The sequence below is a fragment of the Homo sapiens genome, chromosome 17 (assembly GCF_000001405.40).
Source record: "Homo sapiens chromosome 17, GRCh38.p14 Primary Assembly".
NCBI classification, from domain to species: domain Eukaryota; kingdom Metazoa; phylum Chordata; class Mammalia; order Primates; family Hominidae; genus Homo; species Homo sapiens.
The window spans coordinates 57,610,078-57,629,262 of NC_000017.11; the positions used below are offsets into that span (position 1 = coordinate 57,610,078).

At 48.5% G+C, this 19,185-nt stretch overlaps 1 protein-coding gene and 1 pseudogene across 12 annotated transcripts in view; both read left to right on the plus strand.

The window, feature by feature from the left end:
- The window catches only part of MSI2 (musashi RNA binding protein 2), a 445,731-nt gene that overhangs the window by 354,227 nt on the left and 72,319 nt on the right, over window positions 1-19,185 (plus strand). For all 12 annotated transcript variants that reach the window (NM_001322250.2, XM_047435313.1, XM_047435314.1 and 9 more), the window contains 2 exons: window positions 5,893-6,007; window positions 17,152-17,226. In NM_001322250.2, the coding sequence (NP_001309179.1) occupies window positions 5,893-6,007; window positions 17,152-17,226 (190 nt within the window). The remainder of the gene's footprint in view (window positions 1-5,892; window positions 6,008-17,151; window positions 17,227-19,185) is intronic.
- Window positions 8,031-8,316, plus strand: RN7SL449P (RNA, 7SL, cytoplasmic 449, pseudogene; annotated as a pseudogene).

The following is a 19,185-nucleotide window of genomic DNA, read 5'->3' on the forward strand; positions in this document are numbered from 1 at the left end:
TGAGACTGATAACTGTGCTATGATTACGTAAGAAAATGCCCTCATGTTTATGAAACGCATACCAACTTACTCTCAAATGGAAAAAAAAATCCTGGCCAGGTGCAGTGGCTCACGTCTGTAATCCCAGCACTTCGGGAGGCTGAGGCGGGAAGATCACGAGGTCAGGAGTTCGAGACCAGCCTGGCCAATGTGGTGAAACCCCTGTCTCTACTAAAAATACAAAAATTAGCAGGGCGTGGTGGCGTGCACCTATAGTCCCAGCTACTCGGGAGACTGAGGCAGGAGAATCACTTGAACCCGGGAGGCGGAGGTTGCAGTGAGCTGAGGTCACGCCACTGCACTCCAGCCTGAGCGACACAGCAAGACTCCGTCTAAAAAAAAAAAAAATTCTACATATAGAGGGCTCAGGAGTGTGTGCAAATGATAAGGCAAAAGTAACAAAATGTTAGCAGTAGGTGAATTCTGGTAAAGGATACTCTCCTTGCAACTTTTCTGTAAATTTGAAATGATTCCTGAGTAAGGAGTTAGAAACTGCAAACCTCCTTGCTGAGTTGCTGTGGATGCTGATGGGAGGAGGCACCCAACCCAGTGGGCAGCAAGGACAAGAGTGTTAGCGACCACAGGGGCCACACTCCCATCAGGCCTTCGTTTTGTTCTCTAAAGGAACATGCTGCTGCCCTAGGTGTCCAGGGGCTAGGTGTCCAGGGGCTAGGTCATTATTCTGAACCCATTACCATGGGGACTATGAGGAAGCCACACCCTCTCTTCTAAGGCCAGTTTGTCGAACAAAGCAGCATATTGGGAGAAGAAAATTTCAGAACAAATCCCATCAATTTTGTTGGGGTGGGGGGTGTTGGCACATCCCTGGTATTGGGAGTGTTTTGTGGCATTGCCAGCTGTGCACCTTGAAAACAGAGACCTGGTCCTTCTGGTATAAGCAGTTGGTCATCAGTGGCCTCTGAGGCTTCTTACAAGTGCTCAGTCAGATGGAACATCTCACTGCATTTCTTGCCCCTTGAATAGACTGCTCTGGTCAGTTGCTATTTGAAACAGTAGCAGCAGTAGCAGCAGCCACTGTGAGAAGCCGTTGGTGCAGGAGACTCAAGGACTGAGACTGGGAGGTGGGCCTTCCTCAAGGGGAAGTCTTAGGAGGTGGGGCCAAAATACCTGCAGCAAGAGGCCTGGTCCCCATGAGCACCACATTTGTTTTGTTTTAGAGGACCATGGGGAGCCAGGCAGGCCTGTGTGGGGCTACAGTGGGAAGGGAGCCCCCGTGCCCTGCCCTCTGCCCTGTGGTGAGAGCAGCCCTAGGTGCCCACTGCTCCAAGGACCCAGCCAGCCAAAAGCCAGAGTGTGAGGAGTGCCTCCTGCTGCCCTGTCAGCTCACTGCCCTTCACCGACCACATGTGGTTGTTGGTCTCCAAAGATTATCCCTAGAGCCCCCTCCCACACGGACTCTAGGCTGGCCCAGTGTCACCAGTAGAATGTGTGGGAGGGAACACTGTGAGTCCCAAGGCTAGGTTAGAAGAAGCCTTGCAGCTTCTGCCTGAGTCTGTTGGAATGCTTGTGCTTGGGACACTTCCTCTTGGGACTTAGCCACCATATTGTGACAAGACCAGGCGCCATGGAGAAGCCATGGTGGACGCCCCATCAGCAGGCCCAGCCAAACCAGTGTGGCTGCCTGCCATGTGAGCGAGGAGCCATCTTGGGCCTCCAGCCTCGTTGAGGCCTCCTCTGGCCTCAGCCCCAGTCACCACCTGACCACAGCGCCATGAGACCACCAGCAAGAGCCCAGCTGAGCCGGTCACCCCACAGAACCCTGAGGAAGGATGATTAAATTGTTGCTCAAAGCCACTAAGTTTGGGGGCAGTTTGTTGCTCAGCAGTAGATACCTGGAACAGAGCATGTGACCAGATAGCCTAAGTACATGACTAGAACCGAAAAGATAGACCACTTTTTACCCTTTTTGGGTTCTGACTGTCACCCGGGTTGTTCATGCCAAGCTCTCTGGCTTATGCAGGGCCTGGGGGAGGACAGCAGGGGAAGGTGACCCGATGTGGGCTAACTCAAGACGCTCGAGAGGCTAACAAGTGCAGAAGCAGCGAGGGGCAGGTTGATGTGTGAGTACTTGCATTCATCTTAGGAGAACAAGACAGTCAGAGCCTCTTCTTTTTCAATACAATGAGAGCTCTCAGAGAGGTGGAGGCTTTCCTTATTTATCTTTGGGTCCCCAAAGCCTAGCACTTGCCTGGCGTGTTGAGTTCCTCCGCATCTGCGTCATTGAATTAAGTGGCTGAGTCTCGGGGGTGGAGGGGACTGGACAGGCTTCCTGGTCCTGAGAAGTCTTTCAAGAGGCCTTCAGGGCAGGCAGGCCAGGTTCCCTGCTGTTAACTGTTACCTGCTGCCTTCCCCTGTCATTCAGATGCCCAGGACAGGCCAGGGTCCCCTGGAGAGTGTATGCGCCATGGCCCCTGGCCTTGGGGAACACTCACCGTTGACCCAGCAGGTGGTTGGCACTCAGACAGTCATTGCTGCCCAAACCACCAGCAGCAAAGACAGAGCAGAATTAAACAGAGCTGTCAGCCCTGTTCAGTGAGAGGAAGAGTAGGTGGGTTTGTTTAAAACACTCCCATTACAGTCAGTTAACCTTTATGTTCCCTAAATGAAAATTGTATAAACCTGAGATTTCCGTTGATCGGGTTGCCTAGGAACAGGCAGCAGGTTTTCATAAGACAATGCAGTAGATTGTCACCGATAGGGCTATTAGGAAGTGAGCTGGTTAGCGGTATTATTCCCCTTGCTGGTGTTGGCTTTGGGTAATTATCTGTCTGCCTGTGCGAGACACGCCCATCTTCCTAGGCTTGGGGCAGGTTCATGCAAATGAGATTTCTCAGCCTGCTCCTCTGGAGTCCTGAAGCCAGTTTTCACCCCTGGGCTTAGGAGAGAAACCTAAAAGAGCCAATTTGGATGAGTTTGTTGTTTTCAATCACCTTTCCCCCCTACCTGCAATGACAATATTCTAATAGCCCTATCAGTGACAGTCTATTGCATTATCTTACAAAAACCTGCTCCCTGTTGCTTAGCAGAAAGCTTAGAAAATAACTAGCAAAATGCCCAATTAAAATTTAAAAACAGAGTGATTCTAAGACAACTTTAGTATGTCTTTTCAGTATTTTTCCCTATATGATATATGCACTTGTTTATTTTTCAAAAAGTCAGTGACATTTGCTGTTTTCCCGCTTGCAGTTAAAGAAACCCATCATCCTGGTTTGCCTGGGACTGAGGGGTTTCCCAGTACCAGTGCATGATTATTATCAACACACTTTTTCATAGCTGCATAGCATTCAATCAGTGTGGATAATCCAAACTCAGCTAATTCCCTGTTCTTCTATATTTTAGGTATTTCCTTTTATTAAAAAAAAAAATTCTAATTCCGGTAGGGCAAATTCCTAGAGGTAAGATTACTAGGTGTATGTATAAATTTATGGCTTTTGATGTAGTGTCTGGTTGCCCTCCAGAAAAATACGTGCCAATTTCCACCCCTCCACACTATACCGTCAGAAACCCTTACATCAAACAATGCTTTCATCACTGTCAATCTGTGGGCAAAAAATATGCTTCATCTTGGGGAATGTGTTCTTTATTAGCCGTCTGTGAATTGTCTACTCCTGTCTTTTACCCATGTCTGTTTTGGGATGCTCATCTCTTTTAATCTATAGAACTCTGTATTAAGCATATTAGTCATGAATGTTGAACCATTTTGTCCACTTTTTAAGGCATTTGTGGTTATTCTTGAAAGAGCAAGAGTAATACCTGTTGTCCGGTGTCTTTGAAGAAAGGTGACTTATATCTTAGGTAATTATAGCATCCCCCTAACCTTGAGCACTAAAATATTTTTTGATTGAAGTATTTGGGATGTGAGTATCTCCAAAATGGATAACCCATAGAGGTTCCTTTTTTATTTTCGTTTTATTTATTTTTTTTATTTTTTGAGATAGAGTCTCGCTCTGTCGCCCAGGCTGGAGTACAGTGGTGCGATCTCGGCTCACTACACCCTCCACCTCCCGGGTTCAAGCGATTCTTCTGCCTTAGCCTCCCAAGTAGCTGGGATTACAGGAGCATGCCACCACACCTGGCTAATTTTTTTGTATTTTTAGTAGAGACAGGGTTTTGCCACGATAGCCAGGCTGGTCTCGAACTCCTGGACTCAAGCAGTCTGCCTGCCTTAGCCTCCCAAAGTGTTGGGATTACAGGTGTGAGCCACCACGTCCGGCCTAGAGGTCTCTGTTTAAACAATGTATATTGCACACAGTTTAACTTTTTCTTGCTATCTCAGGCACACCTGTGAACAATAGCAATTTTCTGTGTTACAGTGATACCTCAGCAGCTGTTGAACTATGTAGAGCTTTTGTTCCTATACCATATGGCCCAGACTGCTCTTTAAATAAGATACCTGTTTCTTGTCTTTTCTCCGTCATTTAAATAAGATACCTGTTTCTTGTCTTTTCTCCGTCACTATCAGGCGGCCATGCTGTTTCTTTTGGCTGTTAAAAGCATCCGTGCCTTACCCTGCAACATCCCATCTTCATCAGCAGTGGGATTGATGACTGGCTAACAATGCTTGTTAAATTTCTCTGTAAACAAAAAGCAAATAAGTGCTAATAAGCACAGGCCTAAGGCGCTCTGGTAAAACAGTGAAGGAGCTTCCGAGGGCCACAGTTTTACTTATTCCCTGAGGTTTATAGTTCGCATAGTTAAGGTTATTAAATAAGTGACCTCTGGGTATACAAGCAGATTAGCATGAAGAAATTTGAGAGTCAGAAGGGAAACAGAAAGGGGAGATTAGCAACCACTTGAAAATGTAGCTGCAAATGAGAAACTAGTAATCCAGATGAACAGAATCAGTGTTTAATCTTATTACTTCCCTCAGGAGTGTGGTGGTGGTGTAGGTTTTGTGGAAATGTGGCATTGCTGACCTAGAAATTCTAAAGATCTGGTTTGTAGGCCTGAACCTGTTGGGGAGGGCTTTCAGCATGTTGCACAAGAATTTTTTTTTTTTTTTTTTTTTAAGACAGGGTCTCGCTGTGTCACCCAGGCTGGAGTGCAGTGGCGTGATCATGGCTCACTGCAGCCTTGACCTCCCAGACTCAGGTGATCCCCCTACCTCAGCCTCCCAGGTAGCTGGGACTACAGGTGTGTGCCACCACACCTGCCTAGTTTTTTGTATTTTTTTAGTACAGACGGGGTTTCACCATGTTGCCAGGCTGATCTGAAACGCCTGGGCTCAAGCTGATTCACCTGCCTCCACCTCCCACAGTGCTGGGATTACAAACATGATCCCCCACGCCCAGCCAACACAAAACTTCTGATGCTCTGTTTTCTCATCTGTGAACTGGAGCTAAGGCTAAGTGGTCTGTCTGTTTAATAAGAGTTTGAATCAGATGGCCTGGCATGAAGAGTCACTGGCCTGAGAGAATGTCAGGGGCATTTGTAAATGTGTAAAGGGCTGAAAAATCCTGAGGGATTATTATTATTGCTATTGTTGTTATTATTCACAGACACATCCAACAGCCATTGTCTGCCTCCTTATCTGTCATGCTTTCTGCACGAGCGTCAGCCTGAGCTTCAATCTGTGTGTATATCTGCAGCTTACGTCCTTGCCACCCCTCCAGAACCCAGTTTCATCCTTGTAGGTTTTTCCGAAGCAGGATTTGCACAAGTGGCGTGTTTTCTTAAGTATTTATTTTGCAGGCCATTTACTCGGCATGGCTATTTTTACAGTGGGTAAGGAGCAAGGCTAAAAATAACTTAGCTCATAACCAGACAGGTTCTGCATTTGACATTTACGTGGAATTCATTTGCATCTCATTTGTTCGCCTTTCTGTTTAACAGGTAGAATGTAAGAAAGCTCAGCCGAAAGAAGTCATGTTCCCACCTGGGACAAGAGGCCGGGCCCGGGGACTGCCTTACACCATGGACGCGTTCATGCTTGGCATGGGGATGCTGGGTGAGTCTGGACAGGACCGCAGGTCACCATGGACTGGGAGGGCTATGGAGGCCTCTACTCCCAACTGGGTCACCTACCAGTGGGGCAAACTGCTTCACCTTTCTAAGCCTCAGTTTCCTTGTCTGTAGATGAGGATGATAATTCCCCGTTCCAAGACAGTTGTGATGATTAAGTGTGGGTGTGTGTGTGTGCATGCATGTGTGTGTGTGTGTGTGTGTGTTTGTATTTATAATATTGCCCCATGCCTGGCTTATAGGATATGTTAGACTATTTTCTCTCTTTTCCATCTCCTTCCTCAAAAGAAGGAAAAGTCCCCCTCTATCTGCCTCAGCCCTCTCATCTGAGTGGGAGTTCTTAAGATGTAAGGACTCCTGGCTGACTTGACTTGTGTGGGCTAAGGCTACGTTTTCTAAAACTTGGGAGAGGAGGGAAGTGGTAAGGGTGGGCGATAATCCTGTCTATTTAAATGATTAACATTTTTCTCTTGGGATATCAAAATTTGCATTTAAATGGATGTTTTAAATAGCCTGTTTTACTCTTTATTTGCCAAAAAAAAAAAAAAGATGAAAGACAAAGTGTGTTTGTTCTGACTAAAAATGATTTCTCCTGGCTTTTAGAGAAATTGAGTTGCATATTATGTCCCTTTCCTTAAAAGTATCTCTGTCCGTCCTGCGTAGATAATTGAAAATCTTACCGCTTAAATGGCATGAAAGATGGAGAAAGCAGTGGAGATGCGTAATGGTGTAGGTCGCAACAATAATTAGAAATTTAAAGGCGAGAGAATGGTATTTTAGTGCAAGTTATTGTGTGTCAGGAAAATACTAATTAAGTGGGATAAATGGTAGTTAATGGTAAAATTCCATTCAGGCACATGAGCTGTCTAGTGTTAATGGATTTTCATTTGGTTTGGCTAAGAGTCCCACTTCTACATTGTTTGATAAGCCCTTTCTATATTTTCAGATTTGCTGCTGTTTAAATCACTTCTGGCTTAATTTTAAATTTATAAAACATCTTGTGGTCTGACAAAGAATTGTATCTACTTGTCTGAGGAAATAACAAGGGCAGGTAAAACTATTTTGAGGAACTTTATGAAATAGAAAAAGATGCCAGGAGAATATTAAAAATGGCCATGATGTTAATTCTCCTCATATGAATTTTTTAGGCTTAACAGAGTTTCAAAGAGAAATCCTATTGTAATTTTTTTAAATTGGCCAGATGTTTCTAAAACTTATCCCTGGAAGAAGAAACAAGTGAGAATAAATGAGAAAATGTTTTTAAAAAGAGGAATGAGAAAAGACCAACAGTGAGAATGTAACACAAAGCTACAGTAACTAAAACAGTATGGTATATGGGAATGCACCAGTTGATAGAAAAGGGTAGAGTCTAAACTAAATATACCTATATTTAAGAGTGTGATTTTAAAAATCAGTGATAATTATTTCCTGGTTCACTACAAGATAATTCCTTAGCTCCTCCTTTAAAAAATAATTTTTATTAGGTCTTTATGTTTTATATCAAAAGAAACTCTAAGCTGGTAGTTTTAAATGGTGAAATCAACCTGAAAGAAGGAGAGTTGAGCTGAGTGCAGTGGTGCTCGCCTGTAATCGGGAGGCTTAAGCAGGAGGATCACTTGAGGCCAGGAGTTTATGAGCCAGCCTGGGCAACATAGCAAGACCCCCTCTCTACAAAAAATAATAAACATTAGGCTGGGCATGGTGGCTCATGCCTGTAATCCCAGCAATTTGGGAGGCCGAGGCAGATGGATCACCTGAGGTCAGGAGTTCAAGACCAGTGCGGGCAACATGGTGAAACCCTGTCTCTACTAAAAATACAGAAATCAGCTGGGCACTGCAGCACGTGCCCGTAATCCCAGCTACTTGGGAAGCTGAAGCAGGAGAATCGCTTGAACCCAGGAGGCAGAGGTTGCAGTGAGCCAAGATTGTGCCACTGCACTCCAGCCTGGGTGACAGAGTGAGACTCTGTCTCAAAATAATAATAATAATAATAATAATAATAAACATTAGCGGGGTGTGGTGGCGTGCACCTATGGCCTCAGCTACCCAGGAGGCTGGTGCGGGAGGAAAGCTTGAGCCCAGGAACTCTGGGCTGTGCAGATTTGGTGTCCCCACTAAATTTGGCATCAATATGGTGACCTCCTAGGAGTGGAGGAACATCAGGTTGCCTAAGGAGGGTGAACAGGACCAAGTTGGAAATGAAGCAGCACAAAACTCTGTGCTGATCAGAGTGGGATCGTGCCTGTGAGTACCCACTGCACCACAGCCGGGGCAGCATAGAGCATAGCAAGACCTGTTTCTGAAAAAATATAAAATAAGAAAGAGTTGGGGGCCAGGCCGGTGGCTCATGCCCATAATCCTAGCACTTTGGGAAGCCGAGGCAGGAGGATTGCCTGAGCCCAGGAATTCAAGACCAGCCTGAGCAAAATGGTAAGACCCTGTCTCTCTCTTTCTTTTTTTTCTTGAGATGGAGTCTCGCTCTGTCGCCAGGCTGGAGTGCCGTGGCGCGATCTCAGCTCACTGCAACCTCCGCCTCCTGGGTTCAAGCAATTCTCCTGCCTCAGCCTCCCGAGTAGCTGGGATTACAGGCGCGCGCCACCACACCCAGCTAATTTTTGTATTTTTAGTAGAGACGGGATTTCACCATGTTGGCCAGGATGGTCTCGATCTCTTGACCTTGTGATCCACCCGCCTCAGCCTCCCAAAGTGCTGGGATTACAGGCGTGAGCCACTGCGCCCAGCAACGCTGTCTCTTAAAAAAATAAATAAATAAAAGCAAAATAAAAATAAGAAAGAGTTGAGCCTATTACCACCTACTGGGTTTTAGAGTCTTGAATTTAAAATGAGCATAAAGGCCCTACAGCATAAAATGGAAGACCTTCAGGATCCAACTTCAGGAAATTTCCCACCTTTCTGAGTCTAACTTGGTACCCTCTGCATGCTGGGAAGAAGGAACTGGTTTTCATCTGGGAGAAGCAAAGGTGTGAAGCGGAGCCAGCTCAGGTCCTGTCAGTTGACAAAGAGCAAAGAGTGCTCAGCCTCCCAGACTCCGAGCAAAGGCTCAGGCCCACATCTCCATAATCACCCAAGCAGGGATCCCTGAACAGAAGGGTACCTAACATTTCATCATGGGAACACAGGTAGGGAGGCGGGGCAGGAGGCAAGGGGCAAGAGCACCTGCTGCGTGACCAGCCCTGGGTAGCCTTGGGACACAGTGCTTCACAAGCAGATGTGCTTCCTGCCCTCCGCGAGCTTGTGGTCTATACAGAGAGCCTGATGCGTAACATGAATTGCACAGATGCCTGATGATCATCATAGAGTCTGGGGGTGGTTGGAGAGCACGTCATGAGGAGTGGAAGCCAGTCTTAGGAATCAGGGAAGTGGCATTTCAGCAGAAATGAGAAGGATGAGTAAGGCAGGGGCCTTCCATTCGGAATAAACAGGCTTGGAACACGAGGACCCTACTGTGGGACCTTGAGAGCCAACGAGCCTGGCCACGTGTGTGTGGGAAGGTGGGGAGAGGCAGGCCCAGGGGCTCCAGGGTTGGCTTTGCCTGCAGCTCGTGGGCAGACCCGAGTGGCCCCTTCCTGAGAGCACCTACTGAGGTGGTAGGAGACAGCACTGGTCCCTGCGCTTATCTGGACAGCATCTGAACAGCGCCTGCTCGCTGGGGGATGGATATGTGATGCCTGCCAGGAGCTTACTCATCTGCCCAGCTCTTCCCCCGTCTACTCACAGTTCAAGTTATGACTTCCCCAAGCCACAGTAAAGAAGGGGCTGTTAGGTAAAGATATTGTTGCAGTTCAGAGCCTATTGTTCTTGAGTTATAACCTCCGCAGCCCCACCCTGCTGCTGAAGGCCTTTGCCTTTTGCCTGCTGTAGCTGTGGTTGTGCCTAACCCCAGACCCTATCCAGCCCAACCCCAGGTCACAGAGGCACTAGTCTTCTTCTAACCAAGTAGAGAACCCTTTGGATGGAATGGATGGGGTCAGCCCTAGCCAGAGCAGGGCTCCAGCAAGGGAGGCCGTGTGGTCCAGAGGCAAGAGCTTGGGACTTCAGAATCAGCAGACCTGGACTCTTCACTCTATCAGCTGTGTGATTTGGGGCAAGTGGCTTAGCCTCTCTATTCTTCATTTATCCTACCCATGGGGTAATAATCTTACTTCATGGGGTTGTTCAGGGATAAATGCAACTGTATCTTGCCTGGTAAATGCTGTATTTAGTCTAATCTGAGATGCCATGGCTAGTAAGATGTATGTTCATGTACTCTTCAGAAAGAAAAAATATGCTATTAATTAAACCGCATAATGCTTTCTTATCACATTGGCTGCAAGATAGATCCCACTTTCAGAGAAGTTAAAGTGTGGAAAAGATGTGTGTCTTCAAATCAGCAAGGTATCGTAGCATGTACTCAAGCTGGGAGTTGTTATTAACAAGGCACTAGGAAGCCCTACCACTTGGACTTCCTTACCACCCAAGGCTGAGAACCTAGCTAGACTCACGAATGTGACCTGTGCTGTGGCAACTGCGGCCTCTTTCTCCTTGTGGACTCCCAGCCCAAGGAGTTTGGATTATTCTTGAGTAGCCACCTTCTGACAAAGATCTGTGTGCTGGATTCCAGGCCTCATCAGCCCTGGGCCCTCCTGAATTTCCCAGTGACTGTGGTGAGGCCATCCATATGCACTGAGCAGGGTCTCCTAAGATGTCCCAAAATGTGTCCTTCAGCCAGGAACCAGCTCAGCCAGAGGTCCAGGCAGAAGGGATGAATCAGATGCAGTGTCAAGTTGTATCTGAGGAGATACAGGCCTCCCCAGCCATCACAGAGCCTCCTCCTGAGCCCTCTGTAAAGCATCCACTGGGAACTCCCTGGGCTGCCCTCTGTTTTGCCCATTGGCCCAGCTTGGCCCTCTGGGTCTATGGACTCTCTAAGCGAGGAGACTGCCATTTGCTGTGCTATGATGGAAGCCCTTGACTCTGTCATCAAAGACTGTTTCTCTTTCTTCTTGCTTCTTCCCTCGAAAGTGGTAGTGTAGCATCAGGCAGAGTCAAATCTTTTGGTAGCATGGCCTGACATGACCCCATCAGTTACATGGGTCACCATCTCCACCGAGCACTATGCCTGCATATTAGTCCTGGAAGCACTACCATCCTCACCAACAGCAATCTGGCTGATGAACTTGACTCATGCAGAAAAACATTTTCTTAAAGTTAACTAACCAATGAAATTAGACGAGGTTTCCATGATTTAAACTTTTATTATTGAAAGAGTGGAAAAATAAATAGCACTTCTAGGGATTTTTTAGAAGTGAGACTATAAACCATTAAAACATTAAAATTCATTCATTCAACAAATATTTATTAAATGAGTACCTACTAAGTGCCAGGCACTGTTCTAGATGCTGAAAATGCAGCAGAAAACTAAGTCTCTGACTTCAGGGAGCTGACATTCTAGTGAGGAGTCTGAGACAACCAGCACACTGGTCTGCAAATGACTCGAACACTGTGGAACTAATTTTTAAATATCATTTAAGATTTTCTCCATACTCTGGGTGGTCTCTTCAGAGGGAGGCTGATAAGCATATAGTTGCACAGTTATTCTATCTTGATCTCTGTTGATATGGCTGCAGACATCCTTGGGGAAAACCTACACCTGTTTTGGTTTTAGCTTTTACAGCGTTTGACAGAATCACAGAATAATCAACCCAATGGGAATTCCTTAAAAGGAATGTAGAAGAGAAGAGGAGGGGTTATCCTTAGGCCAGGTCTCCCACCTTTGAGCCGGACAAAACCAGAGTCACCTAAGACTCTTAGGAAAGGTCTTTTGCAGGTCAGTGCAGTGGCTCATGCCTCTACTCCCAGGAGGCCGAGGCGGGCAGATCACCTGAGGTCAGGAGTTAGAGACTAGCCTGGCCAACATAGTGAAAACTCCATCTCTACTAAAAATACAAAAATTAACAGGACATGGTGGCGCATGCCTGTAGTCCTAGCTACTCGGGAGGCTGAGGCAGAAGAATCTTGAACCCGGGAGGCTGAGGTTGCAGTGAGCCAAGATCACACCACTGCACTCCAGCCTGGGTGACAGTGCAAGATTCCATCTCAAAAACAAACAAACAAAAAAACAGAAATGGTCTCGTGCAGCCCCTCAGACTTTGCGGCACCGCACCAAGAGGTGCCCACAGTTATCCAGCTCAATGTGATAGAATCTCTTTCATTTTTCTTAATGAAGGTGAACTTAATAAAAGCAAACACATGATGATTGTTGATATATTTTATTTCTCTGAGCCTTCTCTGCCACATAATCCCACTGCCTTTAACTTTCTTGGCCTCGTTGGGCACATGCTGTTTATTTAACATGCTGATACGAGTGTTAGAGAAATAGCACATTGCTGAGCCCTCAAAGAAAAGCTTCACCCTAGCAGGCCCAGAAACGAAGAGAGGCTGATGATCAGCTAAAGCACGTTAGCCAAAAGCATTCTTAGGTGCAGTCGTACTGAGAAGCCCCGCGTGAAGTCCTGACTCAGTGTTCCCTGACATTAAGCCCCCTGAAATGTGAGCAAAAAAAAAAAGTATCGTTAAGAACAGGCACTAGGAAGCTGTAATCTGCTGGCGTTCACTAACAGATCAAAAGATTGGAGATTGGCTGGAACTTAAAACCACATATCTACACTCAATTTCGACGGGGATCTGGCTTTCCCAAAAATATCTGTTTAGGTTATTCTCAAGGAAGTGTTCCTTTGTTTAGCCGCTTCCTGGTGGACAGAGGAAACTCAGAATTCAGCTCTTCATTGTCCCTGTAGAGCAGTGCAGTCCAATAGAACTTCCTGCAAGGGAGGGAAGGTCCTGTCTGCACTAGCCAATATCACTAGCCGCCTGTGCACGGTAGCTGCTGAGCCCTTGAGTTGTGGCTTTTGCGAATGAGGAACTGGAGCTTTCATTTTAGATAATTTGAATTAAATTTAAATTGGACGGCGCAGGTCTGGAGGAGCCCCTGCAACTCAGGGTGATTCTGGGGGCAAAGCATCTTTGTAGACTTTAGCCTTCGCGTCCTTGCCTAGGAAGGACTCTTGGCACTTGGTGTTTAGTCTGTTTGCAGACCTCATGGAGCCGATGAGGTGCCCCAGGCAGTGCTCTAAACATCACGCAGCAGATATGTCACACTCTGGCAGTTCCCTGGATAAACAGCCCTGTCTCTTGTCTCTTTCAAGTCTGGGGCCTGGTGGGAGCCGTTTTCCATGACTCTGAGTAGCTGAGTAACAGAGCCCGGGAGAAGATGAGTCATGGACCCGTCTAGAAGGGAAACATCTCTAGGGTTGCAGCAAAGATCTAGAACCAGAACCACAGTTTTGACAACTTTGTCAGCATCCCCAAAATGGGGACTCAAAATGAGCTCAGTGGCAAATCCAAATTCTATTGTTGATTTCTGTATTTTTGCTTCTGCAATGGAAAGCCGATCTGCAAGAGAGGTGGTCACCCTGGCAGAAGCCTTGATTTTTTTTTACTTTAGTGACAAGAGATAATTACTGTGGGATTGATCAGGCGTCCAGAGTATTGGAGCAGATAAATTGTGCAGTGGCCAGTGTGGGAGGGGCCAGGCTGCTAATGGAAGTGGTGGCTGGGTCATCCCACCGTAATGTGGCTTGACGGAGCGTCTGCACGGGTCTGCTGTAATGTGCTATTGATATGCAGCCAGCCAATTTCCCCCGTGTGGCTGGGGCTGTGAACCATTCGAGCAGAGCTGGGCTGCACAGCAGTAAATGAAGAGGAAAATTGAAGTAATGTTGTATTATAAATTTATGATTTCATCTGCCTGACCTAGAGGATGTTCGGCGATTGGGGGTGGAGATAAGATCCCCCGCTCTGGCAGATGCCGAATTCTCATCTTTGTGGTTTGGGAGACTATAGTATTGATGTGTCCAGGAAGAGTGGGGTGAGACCCAAAGTTGGGGTGAACTTGACCATGCTTTTCTTCTTTCTCGTTGAAGCCTTGTAGGAAAGCCAGGAAGAAAGCAGGTATAATTGCATTGTATTTGTCACCTAAGTGCAGGGAGAAACTGGCTGCTCTGCCACTTCCCACCCTCCCTGAGGGAAGGTGACACATAGGCTTATGCTTTTGCTGTCAGATTAACACTAAAATATTTAAGACCCCCAGCTCTGAAGTTAGAAGCAAAGGAGCCATTTTTCATCTGGAAAGCCCCTAGGCAGCCATGACTTGGCTGTTTGCATATAATCCATTTATCAATATTGTTGAAATCATGGTATAAGAAATCTAGTACAAGATCTGATTTGCTAGCAGGTGATTAATTTGGAGGAGAACTGAGCTGCCTAGCCACGAAATAAATACGAAGGAAGGCGCCAGTATGCATGTGTCCATTTAAGGCATCTGAGCCCTGGCCTTTGCTGTTCTTCCTTCCTTCTTTCTCCGTCGGGTTGCTGAGCTCAACATCCCACCGGGCTCCTGCTCCTTAGCTAGCAGTCAGTGCAGAGCTGCTGGGTCCTTCTGCCTCGCTTGGGCAGGCTTCTGTCAATGAGTCACCAAGCACCGGGAAATAAGTGCACAGGAAGGAGCAGGTGGCAAGACCCTGTGGAGGTAGAGACAGTTCCATTCAGTGAGTGAGCTGTGACTGCAAATTTGGGAAGGTTCTGGGGGAAGCAAGGGAAAGGAGCCACAGCTGGTCTCACTCAAGAATTTGGGCACGTCACTGTTGCAAGGGACCCACAAGGCTTTCTACAGGTGACAAGACTAAGCTCCAAGAGAAAAAGGAAGACTCCTATCTTAAGTCGGGTTGCTGTCACAGATTACCATAGACGAGGTGGCTTATGAACAACAAACATTTATTTCTCACAGTTCTGGAGGCTGGGAAGTAAAGATCAAGGTGCTGGCTGATTCTGTGTCTGGTGAGGGCCCGCTTCCTCATAGATGGCCCCTTCTAACCGTGTCCTCACGTGTTGGAAGGGGTGAGGGTCTCTCTGTGACCTCTTTGTTAAGGGCACATTCATGAGGGCTCCACCTCATGGCCTCATCACACCCCAAAGGCCCCATCTCCTAAGGCCATCACCTTGGGGGTTAAGATTTCAACATAGAAATTTGGGGGAAACACATACATCAAATCATAACAACCCCCAAGGGCATGGTTGGGGGCCAGAGGCAGGACTGGAACCCAGGTCTCCTGACTTCAGACCCGTGAGTTTCTGCTCTAGGTCTGGTGGCAGATCCACTGATCCTAGGCAGAGGCTACAACACCAACATCCACCAGGAAGTGAGGGACGGTGGAGCCCACCTCCAAGGCACAAAAGCTCTGAGTAGGCAGCAGGATGACAAGCAAACTCTGACTCCTGTTGCCGAGTGCAGGCAAAGTGGAATTTAGTAAGGGATCCTTTTCCATTAGCCCTCACTTGCAGGGTCAGAAAGTGGTCAGTGTGATGTATGAGAAGCCACTGAGCAGGTGGGTGATAAGACCCCAGAGCTGTGTGTAGGGATGTTTTTAAAGGGTTTGTGTAGAAGGGCAGAGACACCCGTGGAAAGTGTCACTGTTGCCCTCAATTGCTGGAGAGCCTGGAGGCTGTCATAAGTCCACTCATCAAAGTAATTGTTTGCCAGTGTTTTGATAACAAGCAACAGAAACAACCCTGGCTGCTGTAAGCAGCAAAGGAGATTATTAGAAGGAGCTTGGGCAGTGCTGGAGAATTGACAGGATGGCTGGAGAACAGGACTCAGAAAACAGGCAGGAACTGGGGGAGCTGGGTGGTCAGAGCCCCAGCCCTAGCCAAGGGGACAACTCAGGAATGACCTGGTCAGGGGGCCACTGTTGCCAACACTGGATGCCAGATTCTGCTACTGACACCAGAATAAATTCGGAGCCAGTCCCTCCTCCTCTGCCCTACCAGCTCCAGAGGCAGATCCTAAGGAGGGCTTCCGTCTGTCGAGCCCAGGTTCACAGGCCTGCCTCCCAGCCTCCAGCCCCAGGAAGAGCCCTGAGGCCTTCTCAGCTTCTGTGATGGCCGGGGGGGTGGGCCTCTCTCCAAGACTTACACACAGGGAGAGGCTCAGGGGCTGGGCAGCCAAAAAATGACCACAGACATTCACCTCCAAAGTCAAAGCGAAAGTCACGTTCTCGGTGGTTGGGTGGCCGTGGTGGCATCTTAAGAGCAAGAATGTACTGAGGTTACATATACACTGAGTGGAGGGAGGCAGAGTGAGCCTGACCCATACGGCCTTCATTTAGCCTGAATCAGGCAGGGACTTGAAGAACGAAGTGGCCTGAGCAGCCACAATGACTCCCTGAGAGCTGAATGACACCTCACATCACTGGGGGTTAGTGACAGATCTGAGATGGTCACACCAGCCCCTGGACTTGCCAGCTGAGTTTCTTGTGTGCCCAGTGGCCAGCCCAGTGGCAGTTTCTACAAGTGTCTTTCAGTGAACCACTCACCCCCTAGCTTGCCTGCTGAGACAGGGGTCTAGAAACAATACGCTTGTGGTGAAACGCCCATCCAGTCACACGGCACGGGGCTCCTGAGTCGGAGCTACACTTTGTGGTATGCATCTTAACACATCCAGCCTCTCACCATTCTCCAAAGATCTTGGCACCTCCGTGGAGTGTCAAAACTGCAGTGTGGGCCATGGCTCATCAGGCCCAGCGTTTTCCAGAGGCCCAGGGTGAGCCCTGAGTTTGGCCGCTAAACTGTGACTCCTGAGTTCGCATGCTCTGTCTGGTGCTGGCTCTGTTGTCCACTGCCTTGGGAGGATGCATCACGAGGACTTTAATCTCCTACTGTCAATAGCTTTAAGGTAAAGTACATGCAGGGTAAGCTCTCCAAATGTCAGAGCCAGGCGCAGGCTTTGTGTTTGGTGCTGATGCATGGCATTTACTCTGAAGGTTCAGGAAAGTACATGGGCTTTGCGGGGTCTGGCTGCCCAAATATGGGTTAATTAGCAACAGCTGACAGCAGCGCCCCCGGCCACAGGAGAGAGGTGACCCAGACCCTTAATAAAAAAACCCTCATGAGAGACAAATTATTCTGTGAAGGAAAATAACTCAGGCTTTCCTCATTGCCACCCTCCGTGAGATTTTACCCCAGACCTGAGGCGGCTGTACTAACAGGACTCTGATCTTTCTCTTTGTGTTCAAGGATATCCCAACTTCGTGGCGACCTATGGCCGTGGCTACCCCGGATTTGCTCCAAGCTATGGCTATCAGTTCCCAGGTGAGTGGCTTGGTCTCCCAGGGCTTTGGAAGCACAAGAGGTGGGCTGCATTTGCGGGGAGGTGAGAGGACCCCTAAAGAGAATGCATTTCTTACATGCATCCACTTGAAAATGACCTATACATGATAAATTTCAAATCCACTGAAGTTCAAGGCCAGGATGCAGCTCAGAGTTTTTGATTAACTCAGGTATAACTCACTGGTGCCGGGTATTTGAGAACGGCAGCTTTTAAAGGGAAAGCAGAACGGAGGCAGGAGGCCTCCCTGTGCTCACCTCCTTTTTCTGAAGCCTCTTCCGGGTTTTTTCTCACTGGGGACTGAACTCTAGGCCCAGGGCTTTCTTTCACCCTCTACCACCCCTTGCCCGCCTCCCCGCTCCCTGTGTCCACCTGCCCAATGTTTGATGTCTCCCCGCCCTTGCTTCCTTTCCTCCACCCCTCCTCCTCCTGCTCCGTCCTGACTGCTGTGGCTTCGGCGTCCTTCTGGGCTGTGTTGATGTTGAGCTGCTAGGGGTTGGGACTGCTGTCCATCCTGGGTGAGCTGTTTAGATTATCCTTTCCCTCTGCGTGGGTATCAAGACTTGAGGCAGAGCCCATGGTGATGCCCGCCACATGCCAGGGCTGCTCCAGCTCCAACTCCAGGTAGCTGGCAGGCCTGGGACCTCACCTGGGAGAAGCAGCGAGGGGAAACATGGTCTTGTAGGGATGGGGTAGGGACAATGAAGGAAGCGATGTTTTACAGGGTATGCTTTTCCCCAGCCTTTCTCAAATCTGGAGTACAGATAAGAATATATTGGGGTGTTTGGGGGTCTCCATGTGCAAAGGACAGCCGAGATTCCAGAGGAGGTGTAGGGACAGAGTCTTGTCCCCTGTGGGTTTTCTGCTGAGGGAGGAGGCTCCCTGGGGAGCTGGGCTGCAGGCGGAGTTTCACCCCTGCCTTGTCGTCATGCCTAGACCTGGAGGTCTGGGAGTGTCAGGGTCTGAGATGAATTAGGAAGCAAAGGGAGTGAAGACGCGTCGCTGGAAGATGGCGCCCTGACACTGATGACAGGAGGGCAGAGTGAGGGCTTGGCCTGGTCTTTGCCTCAGACCAAGCATTGGGGCGGGAAGGGTGTAGTTGGAGAGATGAGGAGGCATTTGGGGGCACCTAGAGCCGTGCTCTATGGCAGACAGATCCTTCAACCAGCGGTGGAAGCCCCAAGCTCTTGTCCTGTCTCCGATACCACCTGGCCAAGTGGCCATGGGCGGGTCACTCAGCTTCTAGGGCCTTACTTCTCTCTTTTGGAAAAGGGGGTCTACGAGGAATGGTCTTTGGGGTCTGTGCCCCTCTCCGATTGTGTGGGTCAGAGGGTGCAGGGAAGGCAGGCACAGAAGCAGAAGTCCAAGATGGAGGAGTTTGAGTGCAGGTGGCTCCCCCACCAGTGTCCCCTGGGGCTGGGATGGTTCCCCATCTGGGAGGGGCCTCAACAAGACTCCTCGGCCCGCACTAAGGAAGCCGTCCCCAAAGATGCCCCCCAGCAGCAGGCTGCTTCAGGATGGCCACAGGCTCCCAGACCTGAAGAAAAGAAGGGCACATGCAAGAAGGACCACCACAAGAGAGGCCAGCACTCAACCAGCCACTGTCATTAGACTTTCCCATTTCCAGGCAGAGACCCCCACCAGGCACAGGCACAGAGGTAGAAACTCCTTCTGAAGGGGTCACAGTACGCAAGGGGTAGGACCTGCATTTGGACCAGGCGGTCTGGGCCTTAACTGCCACCCTCCACCATCTCCCTAGTGTCCATTTTTCTGGTACAATAACACTAGCCACAAAGAGCTACTAAAACTTAGGTTTAAATTAAAGTTGGCTGGGTGCGGTGGCTCACGCCTGTAATCCCAACACTTTGGGAGGCCGAGGTGGGAGGATCACTTGAGGTCAGGAGTTCGAGACCCGCCTGGCCAACATGGTGAAACCCCGTCTC